The 19488-nt window shown below is 40.3% G+C and overlaps 1 protein-coding gene across 3 annotated transcripts in view; it reads right to left on the minus strand.

Moving 5' to 3' along the window:
- The window catches only part of ZSWIM5 (zinc finger SWIM-type containing 5), a 190207-nt gene that overhangs the window by 69821 nt on the left and 100898 nt on the right, over positions 1-19488 (minus strand). For all 3 annotated transcript variants that reach the window (XM_047426192.1, NM_020883.2, XM_011541861.4), the window contains exon 2: positions 1662-2018. In XM_047426192.1, coding sequence (XP_047282148.1) covers positions 1662-2018 — 357 coding nt within the window. The remainder of the gene's footprint in view (positions 1-1661; positions 2019-19488) is intronic.

Below are 19488 nucleotides of genomic sequence, written 5' to 3' on the forward strand. Positions count from 1 at the left end.
TATCAGGAGAACAGAGAGGGGGAAATCTGCCCCCATGATCCATTCACCTCCCACAAGGCCCCTCCTCCAACATGGGAGATTACAACTGGATATGACATTTGAGCAGGGACACAAATCCAAACTGTATCAGTTATCATCCAAAAGAGAAAGGTAGTTTAGGGAAACTCAAAAAACTTTAGAGAAATTCAAAAAATTCTTATGTCAAATGAACCTAGGTTATAAATAACTTCCTTATTTATAAAGTAGAAATTATTATACCCCACAAAGTAGTTTTGAAACCTAAATGAATTAATATATATAAAGTCCTCTGTGGATGGAGAACAAAACACTGCATGTTCTCACTCATAGGTGGGAATTGAACAATGAGAACACTTGGACACAGGGCGGGGAACATCACACCCCGGGGGCTGTCGCGGGGTGGAGGGCAGGGGAAGGATAGCATTAGGAGAAATACCTAATGTAAATGATGAGTTAATGGGTGCAGCAAACCAACATGGCACATGTATACCTATGTAACAAACCTACACCTCGTGCACATGTACCCCAGAACTTAAAGTATAATAAAAAATAAAAAAAATAATAAAGTCCTTTGCATGATGCTTGGAACACAGTGGGATCTAAAAAGCAAAATGAAAACTGGCTTATTAACTCTTCTTCTTAAATTTTTTTTTTTTTTTTTTTTGAGATGGAATCTTGCTCTGTCACCCAGGCTGGAGTGCAGTGGCGTGATCTCGGCTCACTGCAGCCTCCACCTCCCAGGTTCAAGCAATTCTCCCGCCTCAGCCTCCAAAGTAGCTGGGATTACAGGCATGCACCATCATGCCTGGATGATTTTTGTATTTTTAATAGAGACAGGGTTTCACCATGTTCACTAGGCTGGTCTTGAACTCCTGACCTCAAGTGATCCACCCACCTTGACCTCCCAAAGTGCTGGGATCACAGGCGTGAGCCACTGTGCCTGGCCCCTTCTTTAAAATTTTCAATGGTTTTCTATGATTAGGCTTCTACAATCTGGTTTCATTATAAAAACAAGCATTTGTTTCAGACCTGTCTGTTGTTGCTACTAGGTTATAAGCTACTTTAAGAACCATGTCTGTTTTAGACCCTCAACAATCAGCACTATTCCCTGCACATGGTACTTAATAAATATTTGTTGAATGAATGAGTGAACATAAACTCTTTCTCCATTAATGCACCCCCAATATATAGTTCATAAGCACAATGCTAACACATGCTCCTTAGGATAACTCTGATGCTAATGTAGGGTCCTGAAATATCAAGGGAATTCTCATATCCATCTCAATTCACTGAATGATACAAATTATTTTGTGCTTTCTTTTACTGTTTTAACACTTCAGGCTCCTAGGGACAGGGTCTGCATCGACAAAGTCCATAAACTAGACCAATATATAATACTATCATTCTCTGTTCTTTTTCACCAAAATCTTTTTGAGATACACAGTTGGACTGTTTTAAGAAACTTAGAGTTAAACACAGTTGTTTGGATAGAATGAAATGATTAAAGTTAAGTGATTGCAACTGCAGAAATATCCCAACCTCTTAACATGCAATAAAGCAACAAAGTAGAGGTAAGAGGGTTGCTTTGGTGACAGTGGTGATGAAAAAGACCTTTTTTTTCAATAAAAAAGTTGTACAATTACCATTCACTTGGTTGATTTCTGAGTTGGAGGATAGAATCTCATCTGCCAGTTTCTGTGCAGTAGGAAGAACTTCAGTGTGGTGTGCCGTGATTAAATATTGAATAAACTTTTGTAGCTGGTCCCTATTCATCTGGAAAAGGGTTTCGGAGATAGGAAGACGCAATTTGACTTGGTCTGGTTTACGGATCCTGTAGAGTGAGAGTGCTACCACATGGGCACAGTAGAATATGTCCTTGTTCCCACAGCCACATGTCACTGAGGTGATTTTGCATCGATCAAAACTGATTGCAACTTTATAAGTCACTGCTGGTTCAGAGGCAGTGGCCAGCTCAGTTACTGTGCCACTCAGATGAAAGCCTAAGGAAACACAAAAGAAACTGTGTTTAGAGATTCTAGAGTAATAAACTTAGATTCTCATTTTACATGTAAATTCATCAATTCATAAATTATGTATTGGGTATCTCCTACACACGTACATGATAGGCTTTGCCACAGACACAGAGGTCAATGAAATTCAGTTACTGCTCTGAAGAAACACACAATATAGAAAGAGTCCTCACCCTGGAGTTCGTGAACCTCCTGAACTCACACTGATATGAAAACTTTAGTTTGTACGTGTATACATTTTTCTGGGGGTGGGGATAGTTCATAGCTATCATCATAGTCTCAGAAAGACTAATAAGGAATCCTAAATAAGTTAAGGACCCCTGTAGTAGATTTTCAGCTCTAGGTGGTAGGCAAAGACAAGTCTACAAATAATATCTGTATAATCTAGAGTAAGGTAGATGTCACAAATGAAAGAGAATCCAAAATGCCATGAGGAAGGACAGAAGGAAGATCAAAGAAGACTAAGGAAAATAATTCTTCTTTAAAACATAAAATTTCACGTGGAATACATAAAAGGCAAGAAATTTAAGACATGAAAGGCACAGCTAGGTGCAATGAAACTATGTAGTGTTACACCTCTACTCACTAGGCACACAGTAACAATAATTTTGAAATGTAGGGAGAACCCATTTTTAACGTAACAAAATTAAAAGATAAAATCAATAGCAAATCAATTCTATAATATTAATTATGCTTTATTATTATTTTTATCTCTGGGGTCTTGCTCTGCCACCGAGGCTGGAGTGCAGTGGTGCAATCTTGGCTCACTTCGGCCTCTGTCTCCTGGGCTCAAGTGATCCTCCCACTCTCAGCCTCAAGTGCAAAAATACAGGAAAATAAAGGAAAGGCTAATGAAAAACGAGCCAGGCACAGTGACTCATTTTTGTATTTTTAGTGCAGACGGGGTTTTACCATGTTGCCCAGGCTGGTCTTGAACTCCAGGGCTCAAGCAATCCGCTTTGGCTCAGCCTCCCAAAGTGCTGGGATTACAGGCGTGAGCCACCATGCCTGGCTATTCTTTACTTTAAATATGATTCTTCTTCTTTGAAAAGAGTATGTATTCATCTAATCATTAAGTCATTCAACAAAAGTTTAATGAGACCTTAAGTATTGAACTGCTAGGCCTAGGGATGCTAACAAAAAAAGAAGATATTTGTGAAGCATCTGCTATGTAGCAGAACTGTTTTGGGTACTTTTAATAATTTATCACAGCAACCTTATAAAATCAGTACTATTTTCCTTAAAGGTATGTAAACTGAGGTTCAGAAAGTTTAAGTAATTTGCCCAAGGCACTAGCAAATGTGACAGACCTGAGATTTGGAACCAGGAGGTCTGACTGACTTCAATGTTAATTTTCTTTTCATTATATTTCATTACCTCTAAAAGGTGCCACAACAAAGTTCTTATCAAAACCCACAGACATGCTTAGTGCGGTGGCTCACATATGTAATCCCAATGGCTCAAGAGGTGCAGGTGAGAGGATTACTTGAGGCCAGGAGTTGGGAGACCAGCCTGGGCAACACAGTGAGACCCTGTCTCTACACAAAATAAAAAAAAAGTAGCCGGTATGGTGGCACGTGCCTGTAGTCCCAGCTACACATATAAGTAAATGATTACAATATGATGTGCCAAATGTTATAGTAGAGACAGGAACAAAGGTGAGGCTAATTTCACAGACTTTCCTGTTTATCTGGACTACACACTGTGAACAGGAAAGCTATTTTAAATAATCTTATATCTGTTGGAGAAATATTTGTCAAGTAATAAAAGGTACATATATAAGTTTCAGAGCCATCATTGTGACCTGGCAGAATTAACAAATGCAGAGAAAACTTTACAAGATTCAAGTTTCAGACAGTTATGGTTAATTAAAATAAGACCCAAATTTACAAGTACGCTCATAAAACCTAGCGAAATTATCACATAAAGCCACATTTAGGTCTAATCCAAAGAAAGGTACACATTACTGAAAACATTCAGATTAATTTCCAGAGCAAGAAAAAGATAAAAATAAATTCACTAACTTCATAGCCTCCAGGTTTGGTTAAACCCCACAGAGGTTTTTTCTCAGCAAAACAAGCTGCAGGTTTAAAAATATTTACTATCATTTGTTTAAAGCAAAATCAAAAAGTTACATTCAAATTAATTATAGGTAAAGATTAATTACAGGTAAAGACTACCTTCACTTAAGAACTAAGAAAGCTGGGCAACATGGCTCAGGTGCTGTAATCCCAGCACTTTCGGAGACCAAGGTGGGAGGATTGCTCGAGGCTAGGAGTTCAAGACCAGCCTCAGCAACATAGCAAAACCCCATATCTACAAAAAATCAAAAAAATTTGTGACCTGACTGCACAGTAAGGTAAAATAAAATAAAATAAAAATAAAATAAAATAAGTAAATAAATAAGCAAGCTGGGTGTGGTGGCACACACTTGTAGTCCTAGCTACTTCAGGACTGAGGTGGGAGGAATGCTTGGGTCCAGGAGTTTGAGGTTGCTAGATAGCTATGATGGTGCCACTGCACTCTAGCCTGGGACACGGGGTGAGACCCTGTCTCTTTAAGAAAAAGAAAAAAAAAAAGAACTAAAGAAGAGAACTGTAGGGTTGGGAAGCAGCTCCTCTCCAGACCTATACCCACCAGACATTGCCAGCAGAGTAATATATAGCAAAGAGCACATTACACTAGGAATTAGGCAGCTAGAACCTGATATTTACTATGGAGTCTTGGGCCACCCACTTTACAACTCTGAGCCTTAGATATCTTCTAAGTAGGTATAATAATACTTGCTCTGCTTACCTCTCAAAAGTACTCTGTAAAACTATAAAATGTCCTACAGATGTATTACTAATGTTTTAATGCAATTATTATTAATGGCTCTCCATGTAAAGGGGATAAGAGACAACTTCCCCAATGGCCAAGTTTCACAGTGGTTGAAAACTAGGTGCTAAGAAAGTACATTCTTAATTTCCCTCGGGCCATTCAGAAGTATGTAGTACATTGTTGAGAAATGACTTGAATCCTGATACAAAGACCCTCACAGAAGGGCTACATTAAAATTTCAAACTAAATAGTAATGTCAATGTGGAAAAGCCTAGTTACTAAGCCCCTGAGTCTAAAGGTGGCTCATGCCTGTAATCCCAGCACTGTGGGGGGCCAAGGCAGGAGGATCACTTGAGGCCAGGAGTTCAAGACCAGCCTGGGCAATATAGCAAGACCCTGTCTCTAAAAAAAAAAAAAAAAAAAAAAATAGCTGGGCATGGTGGCACATGCCTGTAGTACCAGCTACTCAGGAGGTTGAGGTGGGAGATCACTTGAGCCCAGGAGGTTGAGGCTGCAATAAGCCATGATGACACCACTGTGCTCCAGATTGAGTGACAGAGCAAGATTCTGTCTCAAAATAAAAACAAACAAACAAAAAACAACCAACCAACCAAACAAACAAACAAAATGAAACATAGAAACATTTCTGCTTTATCCGTTCAATGCTTCAGGCACACTTGGCTTGCAGCACAGTCTCTGAGCCCAACTTCTCCTTCCCTTCCTGCATGAAAACTGAGTAAGAATATTCGTTAGATTTGAGACTGAAATAGTCATCAATAATTATCTTAGTAGGATGTAAGGCTCATGAGGTCAGGGCTTTCTCTGTGTATTGTTCATCACTATGTTATAAAAAAAAAAACAAACCACGCTGGTTGTGTATTTACAAAAACATTGGACCTCAGCTTCTCCATTTTTAAGATGAGAGGCTGGCCTAAATGATCTCCATGGTTTAATCCTGTGCAGATACATTATGGTTCTATAGTGACTATCACTGAATTTCCCACAATGTTAGACACAGAACTTTGCATATTATAGTTATTTAATAAATGGTGGCTGATCTTACAAAGCAAAGGTCTTTTACTTAGCCTTTATGAGGGCTTCTTATGTGTTAGGCTCCATTCTAAGTTCTTTATATGCATTAACACACTTAATTGTCACAGTTTTATGAATTTGATAGTAGGTGTGATGGTAAGTTTTTTTGTTTGTTGGTTTGTTTGTTTGTTTTTTGAGATGGAGTCTCACTCTGTCGCCCAGGCAGGAGTGCAGTGGCCCAAACTCAGCTCACTGCAACCTCCACCCTCCAGGTTCAAGTGATTCTCCTGCCTCAGCCTCCCGAGTAGCTGGGATTACAGGTGCCTGCCAACACACCTGGCTACTTTTTGTATTTTTAGTAGAGACAGGGTTTCACCATCTTGGCCAGGCTGGTCTTGAACTTGTGACCTCGTGATCCACCCCCCCCCCCCCGCCAGCCTTACAAAGTGCTAGGATTACAGGCGTGAGCCCCCGCACCTGGCCCGATGGTTAGTTTTATGTGTTAATTTGACTAGGCTATGGTACCCAGCTATTCAACCAAACACTAATCTAGGTGTTGCTGTGCAGGTAATTTGTAGATGTGGTTAATATTTACAATCAGTTGACTTTATCTAATGCAGATTATCCTCAATTATGTGGGTGGGCCTCATACAATTGACTGAAAAGTCTTACAAGCGAAAGTCTAAGGTTTCTCTGATAAAGAACAAATTCTGCCTCAAGTCTGCAGCACCGGGGCCTGCCCCAAAATTTCCAGCCTGCCCTGCAGATTTCATACTTCTCAGCTGCCCATATCACATAGGCCAATTCCTTGAAATAAATCCTATCTATCTATCTATCTATCTATCATCTCCCACTAGTTTTGATTCTCTGGAAAATTTTGATTACTATTACTACTCCCATATTTATGTATGAGAAAACATAAGCATAGAAAGCTTAAGTAACTCATTCAAAGGTCACTCTGCTAGGAAGTGACAAAGCCAGGATTCACACCCAGGCAGTCTGGTTCTGAAGCTCAAACTCTTAACTCTTATACCATACTGCCTCTCCATAATATTGTACTGTAGGCAATTAATACCACATTTAACTAATGGAATTATAAACTATAAAACAATATAACTAGAAATATTATTAGAAAATAATGATCAGGTTTATTAAAATTCTAAAATTTCAGTTTTTACAGCATTGGTAATGGCTTGAAACCTCTAGGTTAATCTACAATTAGAGCTCAAGTATCAATTTAGATTCCAGTTGTCTTCAAAATAGATCAAAATTAAAACAACTAGAAACTTTCTGCAAAATATTTTTCAAAGCTAATTATACATGGCTCCCTAGAGGCTCTGGCTAAGGCTCATGATTGATGCTCTTGGGAACATGTTCATTTGAGCTGTGTAAATGTTTGGGCTCTGTCAGCTGTATTAACACTGGTATAGCTCATGCTTCAGGCCTAGGCCCATCTGAAAGGCAGAAGGCTCTGAGTGGCTCTGGGTAAGTTTCCTTGTTGGGAGTTTCTTTTTCCCCTCATATATCTTAAAAGGGAAGTCCCTTTCAAATATCTATACCCCTTGCCTTATTGTAACCTAGCAACATTTTTTAAAAAGTCTGATTACTCCTGAGAATAAAGCCAAGTAGACTAGGTTTAATGTAGTGTTTCTTTCCCATTGCAAACCTAACAGCCATAAACATGTCCATCAATAATCTATTAATTTAAGCAAACATGTAGAAGCTTGTTTTTTTTTTTTTTTGAGACAGGGTCTTGCTCCGTTACCCAGGCTGGAGTGCAGTGGTGCGACCACGGCTTGCTGCAACCTTGACCTCCTGGGCTCAAGGAATTCTCCCAAATTAATTTCCCCAAGTAGCAGAAACTACAGGTGCATGCCACTATGCCTGGCTAATTTTTATTTTTATATTTATTTATTTATTTATTTATTTATTTATTTATTTATTTATTTATTTTTGAGACGGAGTCTTACCCTGTCGCCAGGCTGGAGTGCAGTGGCGCAATTTTGGCTCACCACAACCTCCAACTTCCTGGTTCAAGTGATTCTCCCACCTCAGCCTCCCAAGTAGCTGGGATTACAGGCACGCGCCACCACGCCCAGCTAATTTTTGTATTTTTAGTAGAGTTGGGGTTTCACCATGTTGGTCAGGATGGTCTCGATCTCCTGACTTCGTGATCCGCCTGCCTCAGCATCCCAAAGTACTGGGATTACAGGCACGAGCCACTGTGCCCAGCTGCCTGGCTAATTTTTTTGCATTTTTTGTAGAGATGGGATTTCACCATGTTGCCCAGGGTGATCTCAAACTCTGGGGCTCAGAAGCTTGGTTTTTAAAAATCCTTACTGGCTGGGTGTGGTGGCTCATGCCTGTAATCCCAGCACTTTGGGAGCCCAAGGTGGGAGGACTGCTTGAGCCCAGGAGTTCAAGGCCAGCCTGGCTATCAAACAAAAAAGTACAGAGACAGGGCCAGGCTTGGCGGCTCATGCCTGTAATCCCAGCACTTTAGGAGGCTGAGGCAGGTGGATCACTTGAGCTCAGGAGTTCAAGACCAGCCTGGCAACATGGCGAAACCCTGCCTCCATGAAAAGTACAAAAAATTAGCCAGGCGTGGTGGTGCACGCCTATAGTCCCATAGCCACAGTCCCAGATACTTGGGGGGTTGAGGTGGGAAGATCACTGGAGCCTGGGAGATCGAGGTTACAGTGAGCCAAGATCATATCACTGTACTCCAGAACAAGGCAAGCAAAAAAAAAAAAAACAAAAGACAGAGACAGCAGTATGTTGAGTCCCCATGTATGCATCACTTAACTTCAACAATTATCAACACAAAGACAAATTTCTTTAACCTACCGTTTACCAACTCCTTTCCTACCTCCTCCATAGATTACTTTGAAAGCAAATCCCACAAATATCATTTCATTGGTAAACACCTCTGTATGAATCTCTAAAAGGTAAGAACTAAAATTTGTAATTCCTTAATATCAAATATTCAGTGTTCAGATTTCCATAATTAACTTTTTTTTTTTTTTGAGACAGGGTCTCTCTCTGTTGCCCAAGCTGGAGTGCAGTGGTGTGATCATGGCTTACTGCAGCCTCAACCTCCTGGGCTCAAGTGAACCTCCCACCTCAGCCTCCTGAAAAGTTGGAACTACAGGCATGTGCTACCATCTCTAATTTTTTTTTATTTTTTGTAGAGATGGGGTCTCAATGTGTTGTCCAGGCTGGTCTTGAACTCCTGGCCTCAACTGATCCTCCTGCCTCAGCCTCCCAAAGTCCTGGGATTATAGGCATGAACCACTGTGCCTGGCTCTTTATTTTTATTTTTCTTTAACAGGATGTTTGTTCAAATCAAGATGCAAACAAGGTGCAGACATTTAATTTTGTTGTTATGTCTCTTAAACTACAAGTTCCCTTCTTCCCCAACATCCTAATATTGAAAAATAATGTGAGTTCTAGAGACTTGATGAGATTTGGGTTTTTTGCTGAAATTACTTCACAGGCTGTGTTGCATACTTTCTATTGCATCACATCAGGAGACATATAACGCCTGATTGTCTTTCTTTTCATGCTGTTGAGGAATGACCAGTGGGTTTTGGTGTTTTTGACCTGATCTCTCCCTTACAAAGTTCCTTGTCAGCTTTTCACCTAATGGTTTTAACAGTCATTGATGATTGTTGCCTTGACTTATTATTTCATCAGGCGTGAATTTATTTTTTATTTAAAGTTTTGACTGTCTTTCTTTGATTCTTAACACATTTATCTGTAAAATAAAGAAAAAAAACACATAAAGTGGTTAGGTCAGTGCCTGGAACCTGGTAGGCTCTTAACAAAAACAGTAACAGAAACAACCACCACAAAAATTGCTTAGAAACTCATGGGAAAAACAACTACTTTATAAAAGACGTTTTCCCAAATATCATCTTTGTGATACTCCTTCATTCACATTTTCCTAAAATACAAAAACAAAATACATACATTGTGAAGTTATTCTACTTATCAAATATTCAAGTGCCCAAGAACTATATAGGCTTTTAAAACAGTCTATTTTATTAGTTATAGGTCTTCAAGTGATTAGGATATAGATAAATTGTGGGGAGCAATAGGCAGGTATAAAGAGAAGCAATATATAATGTTAGACTTGGTAGTGTACCACAGTTAAAACACACACACGCACGCACACATACACACACACACCCCTACCTGCTTTACTAGTGACTCCAGTGGGCCATAAAGGTAAAACATCGCTATTTTGTTCCTTCCTACAGTCCATTTTTTGATGCAAAGCAGTCAGAGATGGTGGACCTGGTAGATAACTGTTTGTGTGTGTGTGTGTGTGTGTGTGTGTGCGTGTGTGTGCATGTGTGTATGTTTTTAAAGAAAATGGACAATCAGGCAGCTGCTTGCCTTGTGGCCCTATCAACACACACACACACACACGCACACACACACACACACACACAGCCCTCAAGTGCTTTAACACTGAGCAGGCCCTGCATAAAGCACCAAACATTTTCAAGGAGTTCCTGTTTAGTTTTACAACCAGTGCATTTACCCACCCCTTGCCCCTCGGATCACAAAGCAAAGCCTTGCCCTGAGAAGAAGAGATGCTTCATGCCGTTCTATGGCTTAGACAGCTTCCCTACCTGACCTGTAGATTGTTTAGAACTGTAAGAATAAAATTGTACCGCAGCTGCTTCTCCATTACATATCACACTGGCTGTGACATCTCTGCTTCCAGAAAAATCACTGGCCTTCTATAAACACCTGCTATTATAAGAACCCCCACCATCATGTCATCCTATAAATGAGCCATGCTTTCTTTGCCTTCAACGTGCTCCAAGTGCGACTTAGGAAAGATTTAAAAATGTATCAAAATGGCCTCACAGGCTCCTAACAACCAAGTACTTTGCAGGTGGTCCTTGCAAGAGCTAGACATGCTTAAATGTGCAGCAAGAGCTCTGGGAACCACAAGATCAGTAAGAAACTTAAAAATCCATGGTTTAAAAGAGTTCTGATTCTCCTGCCTTCTAAACTGAGGACACGGGAATTGACTGAAATTGTTCACTTAACAGTTTTCTTTCCCAGCATTAAGGCTGGGGAATCCCGAGCATGGGCTAGACTCCACCTTGGATTAAACAGAAAAGGACTAAAGACCATTTTTCTGTTTGGACATGTGTGACAGACAGATATATACAAATTTCCCCTCTCCAAATAAGGAAATTCTATGTTCTTCATGGCTTAGCTCAAATATCACCTCTATATAAAACTACTTGGTGCCCCAACTGTTGAAATGAATCATAGTAAGTGAAAAAGCCTTAACATTTATGGGTATGGAGCTTATATTCTAGTTTATATGAGTGAGATTTTACTCAAAATGAAGTAGTAAAGGACCTGAGACATAATCATTTCACAGATGAGGAACAAGGTTCAAAGAAGTTACGTGATTTGCCCTAATCTTATTGCATGATTATAGTCGTGGTAACAGAAATTATTATAAAATGATCATAATTTCACATTCTGAAACAATGTTGGGCTTTAAAAACTAGGAAAAATAAATTTATAGCATTTCTTTCAACTCAATGTGCTTCTTTTTTTTTGTTTTTGAGACAAGGTCTCACTCTGTCACCCAGGCTGGAGTGCAGTGGTGCGATCTCAGCTCACTGCAACCTCTGCCTCCCAGGTTCAAGCAATTCTCCTGCCTCAGTCTCCTGAGTAGCTGGGATTATAGGTCCCCACCACCACACCCGGCTATTGAGTTCTAATTGTGTTAAGTACTATAAAGAAGTAGTATAAAATGATAGGGTAGTATATAATAGCGGGGGACCTGAACTGATTCAGGGACAGAAGTGGTAAGGGATGAGTTTTTGAGGAAATAATATTTTGTCCAGAATTCTGTAGAATAAGTAGGAATTAATTAGGTGAAAGGATGGAGAATGGCAGAGTAGTGGTAAAGAAGACTCCAGGCAAGAGAGAGACAGACAGACAGACAAAAAGAGACAGAGACACATATGCAGAAGTGCTGAGTCATAGAGGATCATGGAATGTTCAAAGAAGAGAAAGAAGACCAGTGACTGGAAAGCCAACAGGAAGCGGGAAAGTGACAAGTGATGGAGCTGTAGAGTCAGGCAGGAGCCACTGCTCTGGGGTTTATCCTTGGCTTCTCCTTCTGATTCATATACAAAAGGTCACTAAATCCTGTGGATTCTGCCTCCTAAATATTTTTCCATTCTAGTTCCTCCACTTTAACTCCCCTAACACCACCTCAATTTGAGATCATAATAATCTCTTGCCTGGGTTAACTAATCTTCCTGCCTTTAAGTCTTATTCCCTCTACTCATCTTCCATAAACATGAGCAGAAGGTCTTTCCAATGGGGAAATAATATCATGTCATTCCTATAAAACTGTGAACTCAGCTCCGCACCAAGCAGACCTAATAGACATCTACAGAACTCTCCACCCCAAATCAACAGAATATACATTCTTCTCAGCACCACATCGCACTTATTCCAAAATTGACCACATAGCTGGAAGTAAAGCACTCCTCAGCAAATGTAAAAGAACAGAAATCACAACAAACTGCCTCTCAGACCACAGTGCAATCAAATTAGAACTCAGGATTAAGAAACTCACTCAAAACCGCACAACTACATGGAAACTGAACAACCTGCTCCTGAATGACTACTGGGTACATAACTAAATGAAGGCAGAAATAAAGATGTTCTTTGAAACCAATGAGAAAAAAGACACACCATACGAGAATCTCTGGGACACATTTAAAGCAGTGTGTAGAAGGAAATTTATAGCACTAAATGCCCACAAGAGAAAGCGGTGAAGATCTAAAATAGACACCTTAACATCACAATTAAAAGAACTAGAGAAGCAAGAGCAAACACATTCAAAAGCTAGCAGAAGGCAAGAAATAACTAAGATCAGAGCAGAACTGAAGGAGACAGTGACACAAAAAACCCTTCAAAAAACCAATGAATCCAGCAGCTGGTTTTTTGAAAAGATCAACAAAATTGATAGACCGCTAGCAAGACTAGTAAAGAAGAAAAGAGAGAAGAATCAAATAGACACAATAAAGAATGATAAAAGGGATATTACCACCAATCCCACAGAAATACAAACTACCATCAGAGAATACTATAAACACCTCTACAAAAATAAACTAGAAAATCTAGAAGAAATGGATAAATTCCTGGACACATACACCTTCCCAAGACTAAACCAGGAAGAAATTGAATCTCTGAATAGACCAATAACAGGCTCTGAAATTGAGGCAATAATTAATATCCTACCAACCAAAAAAAGTCCAGGACCAGATGGATTCACAGCCGAACTCTACCAGAGGTACAAAGAGGAGCTGGTACCATTCCTTCTGAAACTATTCCAATCAAGAGAAAAACAGGGAATCCTCCCTAACTCATTTTATGAGGCCAGCATCATCCTGATACCAAAGCCTGGCAGAGACACACAAAAAAAGAGAATTTTAGACCAATATCCCTGATGATCATCAATGTGAAAATCCTCAATAAAATACTGGCAAACCGAATCCAGCAGCACATCAAAAAGCTTATCTACCATGATCAAGTCGGCTTCATCCCTGGGATGCAAGGCTGGTTCAACACACGCAAATCAATAAACATAATCCGTCACACAAACAGAACCAACAACAAAACCCACATGTTTATCTCAATAGATGCAGAAAAGGCCTTCAACAAAATTCAACAGCCTTCATGCTAAAAACTCTCAATAAATTAGGTATTGATGTAACGTATCTCAAAATAATAAGAGCAATTTATGACAAACCCACAGCCAATATCATACTGAATGGGCAAAAACTGGAAGCATTCCCTTTGAAAACTGGCACAAGACAGGGATGCCCTCTCTCACAACTCCTATTCAACATAGTATTGGAAGTTCTGGCCAGGGCAATCAGGCAAGAGAAAGAAATAAAGGGTATCCAATTAGGAAAAGAGGAAATCAAATTGTCCCTGTTTGCAGATGACATGGGTGTATATTTAGAAAACTCCATTGTCTCAGCCCAAAATCTTCTTAAGCTGATAAGCAATGTCAGCAAAGTCTCAGGATACAAAATCAATGTGCAAAAATCACAAGCATTCCTATACACCAATAACAGACAAACAGAGAGCCAAATCATGAGTGAACTCCCATTCACAATTGCTTCAAAGAGAATAAAATACCTAGGAATCCAACTTACAAGGGATGTGAAGGACCTCTTCAAGGAGAACTACAAACCACTGCTCAAACAAAATAAAAGAGGACACAAACAAATGGAAGAACATTCCATGCTCGTGGATAGGAAGAATCAGTATCATGAAAACGGCCATACTGCCCAAAGTAATTTATAGATTGAATGCCATCCCCATCAAACTACCAATGACTTTCTTCACAGAATTGGAAAAAACTACTTTAAAGTTCATATGGAACCAAAAAAGAGCCTGCATTGCCAAGACAATCCTAAGCCAAAAGAACAAAGCTGGAGGCATCATGCTACCTGACTTCAAACTATACTACAAGGCTACAGTAACCAAAACAATATGGTACTGGTACCAAAACAGATATACAGACCAATGGAACAGAACAGAGGCCTCAGAAATAACACCACACATCTACAACCATCTGATCTTTGACAAACCTGACAAAAACAAGAAATGGGGAAAGGATTCCCTATTTAATAAATGGTGCTGGGAAAACTGGCTAGCCATATGTAGAAAGCTGAAACTGGATCCTTTCCTTATACCTTATACAAAAATTAATTCAAGATGGATTAAAGACTTAAATGTTAGACCTAAAACCATAAAAACCACAGAAGAAAACCTAGGCAATACCATTCAGGACATAGGCATGGACTTCATGACTAAACCACCAAAAGCAATGGCAACAAAAGCCAAAATTGACAAATGGGATCTAATTAAACTAAAGAGCTTCTGCACAGCAAAAGAAACTACCATCAGAGTGAACAGGCAACCTACAGAATGGGAGAAAATTTTTGCAATCTACTCATCTGACAAAGGGCTAATATCTGGAATCTACAAAGAACTTAAACAAATTTACAAGAAAAAAAACGACCCCATCAAAAAGTGGGCAAAGGATATGCACAGACACTTCTCAAAAGGAGACATTTAGGCAGCCAACAGACACATGAAAAAATGCTCATCATCACTGGTCATCAGAGAAATGCAAATCAAAACCACAATGAGATACCATCTCACACCAGTTAGAATGGTGATCATTAAAAAGTCAGGAAACAACAGATGCTGGAGAGGATGTGGAGAAATAGGAATGCTTTACACTGTTGGTGGGAGTGTAAACTAGTTCAACCATTGTGGAAGACAGTGTGGCGATTCCTCAAGGATGTAGAACTAGAAATACCATTTGACCCAGAGATTCCACTACTGAGTATATACCCAAAGGATTATAAATCATGCTACTATAAAGACACATGCACATGTATGTTTACTGCAACACTATTCACAATAGCAAAGACTTGGAACCAACCCAAATATCCATCAGTGATAGACTGGATTAAGAAAATGTGACACATATACACCACGGAATATTATGCAGCCATAAAAAGGACGAGTTCATGTCCTTTGCAGGGACATGGATACAGCTAGAAACCATCATTCTGAGCAAACTGTCACAAGGACAGAAAACCAAACACCGCATGTTCTCACTCATAGGTGGGAGTTGAACAATGAGAACACCTGTACACAGGGCGGGGAACATCATATCCCAGGGCCTGTCGTGGGGTGGAGGGCAGGGGAAGGGATAGCATTAGCAGAAATACCTAATGTAAATGACGAGTTAATGAGTGCAGCAAACCAACATGGCACATGTATACCTATGTAACAAACCTGCACATTGTGCACATGTACCCTAGAACTTAAAGTATAATAAAAAAAAAAAAACTGTGAACTATGTATTTTATATTTCTGTTACCTAACAGTCTGGCATAGAGTAAACATTTATAAAAGTGTTTGCTGAACTGAATTGCTTAAAATCATTCAATGGTTCTCCACTGATTACAAGATAAAGTTCAAACTTCTTACAATATGATTTCTTTCTATCTCTTCAGACTTGCTTCATACCACTCTCCCACATTCCAAACACACCAAACTATTTGCAGATTCTTGACTATGCTGTTTTCTCCATTTTCTTATCCTTTATGCCTTTGCATGTGAAGTTTCCTATACCAGGCATGACCTTCTCATTTCCTTCTCATGCTAATTCTTGACTCAAATGAGCCCCTACTCTGGGAAGTCTTCCCTCATCTTTTTGGACAGCTAGTTAAGTGCTTCTTCCTAAGCACTCATTTTTCATCAGTCATATCTCCATTATAGTACTTGACATCAATGTAATTGTCTTCACATTTATCGTTTCCCTTTAGATTGTGAGTTCCTTGAATAAGGGAGTTATGTATATCTTTTTCATCTCTATATTTTCATCTCAGGCACATGGTAAGGACTTAATAACTGACTGTGTATGGATGAATGAATAAATGAACACTAAACTGAATCTTTTACATATTTATATCTACAGTTCACAGAGGATTAAGCATGTTTATAAAATTCCTGATTTGTGATTAAAATAAGCCAGTAATTAAATAATTTTACTGAGACGGTGAGCAAAGTAACAATAATTTGTATATTTGGTATAATATTGAAACACCAAGATTATTTTCCATAATGTATGTATATAGATTTTTAAATTATTTATTTATTTATTTATTTGGTGGGGGTACAGGGTCTTGCTTTGTCGCCTAGGCTGGAATGTACTGGCATGATCACGGCTCACTGCAACTTCGACCTTCAGGGTCAAGTGATCCTCTCACCTCAGCCTCCCAAGCAGCTGAGACCACAGGCATGCGCCACCAATACCTGGCTAATTATTATTTTTTTAATGTTTGTAGAGATGAGTCTTGCTATATTGCCTAGGCTGGTCTCAAACTCCTGGTCTCAACTGATCTTCCTGCCTTGGCCTCCCAAAGTGCTGAGATTGAAGGTGTGAGCTGAGCCACCATGCCCGGCTCATAATTGATATTTATGCCTGTTATGCTTCTGCCAATTTTTATAACCTATTTTCAAAAATATAAAATACAAGCAGTTTTTATCAGCCAACATTTACTGGATATACTTACTACATGACAGATAGTATTCTAAGTGCTTCCCATGTATTAACTAATTAACTAATTAAATGCTCAAAGCAACCCTACAAAGTAGATTCTGTTGTTATTTCCCTGTTTCCGATAAGAAAACTAGGATAAGAGAGATAGAAGAACTTGTCTAAGATCACACAACCTGTAAAATGTAAAGTTGGGATCTGAACACAGGTAGTCTGGCTCCAGAGCCTATATTCTTAAGGACTACAATATATTAAATATGACTCTGAAGTTTAAATTTGTATACAAAACTTTGTAAAGGTAATTAGCAAGTGTAATTCTACAAAGACAGAGAGTCCTGCACTAATAACAAGTCAGTAAACTCTGACATTTGCCTGTTTTCCTGGGCAAATGTTCAAGGTAACTGAAACTGACAAGTGCTGTGATGCTCTCATAGTTGGAATGAAGGTGGGCTCATGAACTCATCTGTACAAGAAAATGTATCAGGACATGAGTGAATCATCTGCTTAGAGTTCTAAAGGAAAGCACTTCTCAGTGCAGCCCTTTGACACCATTCAAAGCCTTTTGTTTTTCTGAGTGCAAGAAAGGCTCTAGTAAAGCTTGGGCAATTAAAACCACTTTTCTCATTGCTCTTTTGATTCACCAGGCCCCTAGGCAGGTGTTAATGCATGAAAATGATTATCATTTCAGCCAATAGCAGGGAAAAGAAGAGATGTGGTTTATGAAAAGAATATTTTTTCTTATAGTCAGTTAAAAAGGATATGCAAATATATAAACTAAGTAACTTCTTTGACTGAGAAAGCTTCCTCTTGAATAAATTTGGTTTTGATGAAACTGCATAGTATAAATTAGACCTTCTCACTTAATTCCTGTCTCCCGGAAGGCCACAGCAGTATACCAGCAGAAGTAAAGCAGCCACTCTTTCTCTCCTTTTTGTCACTTAGCAAAACAGTAACCAGAACAATTAAAACAATGAGAGTGACATCTATAAAATAACTAATTTCCTTTCCAGAAAGCCTTTCTCAAAAGCTGGGTAACAACTGCCTAAACAAGAGCACTGGAATGGCTCCATATACTATCGATACAAACAGATTAGGAATCAGAATGCTTGAGTTGTAATTCTAGTACCCCTCAATTCCTCTTTGCCTCAGTTTCTTAATTATGCAAATAGACATAATACTACTTAGCTGCCTATCAGACTCATGTGAAAGTAATTTGTAAAGAACACATTTCCCAAAGATATCATTCAATAGCAATCCCAACTGGCCACGCCTGGGGCCTATATAAGTTCACAAGAAGCAGATGGTGCCCAAACACTGGGTGAGGGTGCGAGAGATTGCAAAGTGAGGAGCAGTATTGTTATTTGGGAATACAAATGATGCTGCCCCATTACCCTGAGAACTACTTGGTTTGTTTGTATTATAGAGGTCACCCTAAGCTTCTCAGAGCAGCTGAGTAAGCTAGAGGGCCCTTCTTGCGGCCATCTGCTCCCCTCCCAGACTCCTCTGGCAAATCAAGTGGTTTTCCCTGTATTAACCTCCGAAGAACAGCCATTGGCCCCCCTCAGCACCAGCTTCAGCAGCCAGTGGTCTCTGTTCTCCATCTGTACCAGAAACCACAGTTCAAGAACAATGAGGCTTCCGAAGCCCAGGTATTCACTTACAGCGATAACCTTGCATTTACCTAGTTTTCTAGTGTTCTTTCACTTGTGCCCCTACAAGGAAATTAGATGTGTATTTTAAAAGACTGAGATCTTCGGCTCGCCGCAACCTCCCTGCCTTGGGCTCCGGTGATTCTCCTGCCTTGGCCTGCCGAGTGCCTGGGATGCCAGGCACGCGCCGCCACTCCTGACTGGTTTTTGTATTTTTGGTGGAGACGGGGTTTCACCGTGTTGACCAGGCTGGTCTCCAGCTCCTGGCCTCGGGTGATCTCCCCGCCTCAGCCTCCCGAGGTGCTGGGATTGCAGACGGAGTCTCGCTCACTCATGCTCAATGTTGCCCAGGCTGGAGTGCAGTGGCATGATCTCGGCTCGCTACAACCTCCACCTCCCAGCCGCCTGCCTTGGCCTCCCAAAGTGCTAAGATTACAGCCTCTGCCTGCCTGCCACCCCGTCTAGGAAGTGAGCAGCGTCTCTGCCCGGCCGCCCATCGTCTGGGATGTGAGGTGTGCCTCTGCCCGGCCGCCCCGTCTGGGAAGTGAGGAGCGCCTCTGCCCGGCCGCCCCGAATGGGAAGTGAGGAGCGCCTCTGCCTGGCCGCCCCGTCTGGGATGAAGTGAGGAGCGCCTCTGCCCGGCTGCCCCGAATGGGAAGTGAGGAGTGCCTCTGCCTGGCCGCCCCCTCTGGGAAGTGAGGAGCGCCTCTGCCCGGCCGCCCTGTCTGGGAGGAAGTGAGGAGCACCTCTGCCCAGCTGCCCCGAATGGGAAGTGAGGAGTGCCTCTGCCTGG

Source organism: Homo sapiens, chromosome 1 (assembly GCF_000001405.40).
Source record: "Homo sapiens chromosome 1, GRCh38.p14 Primary Assembly".
Taxonomy (NCBI): domain Eukaryota; kingdom Metazoa; phylum Chordata; class Mammalia; order Primates; family Hominidae; genus Homo; species Homo sapiens.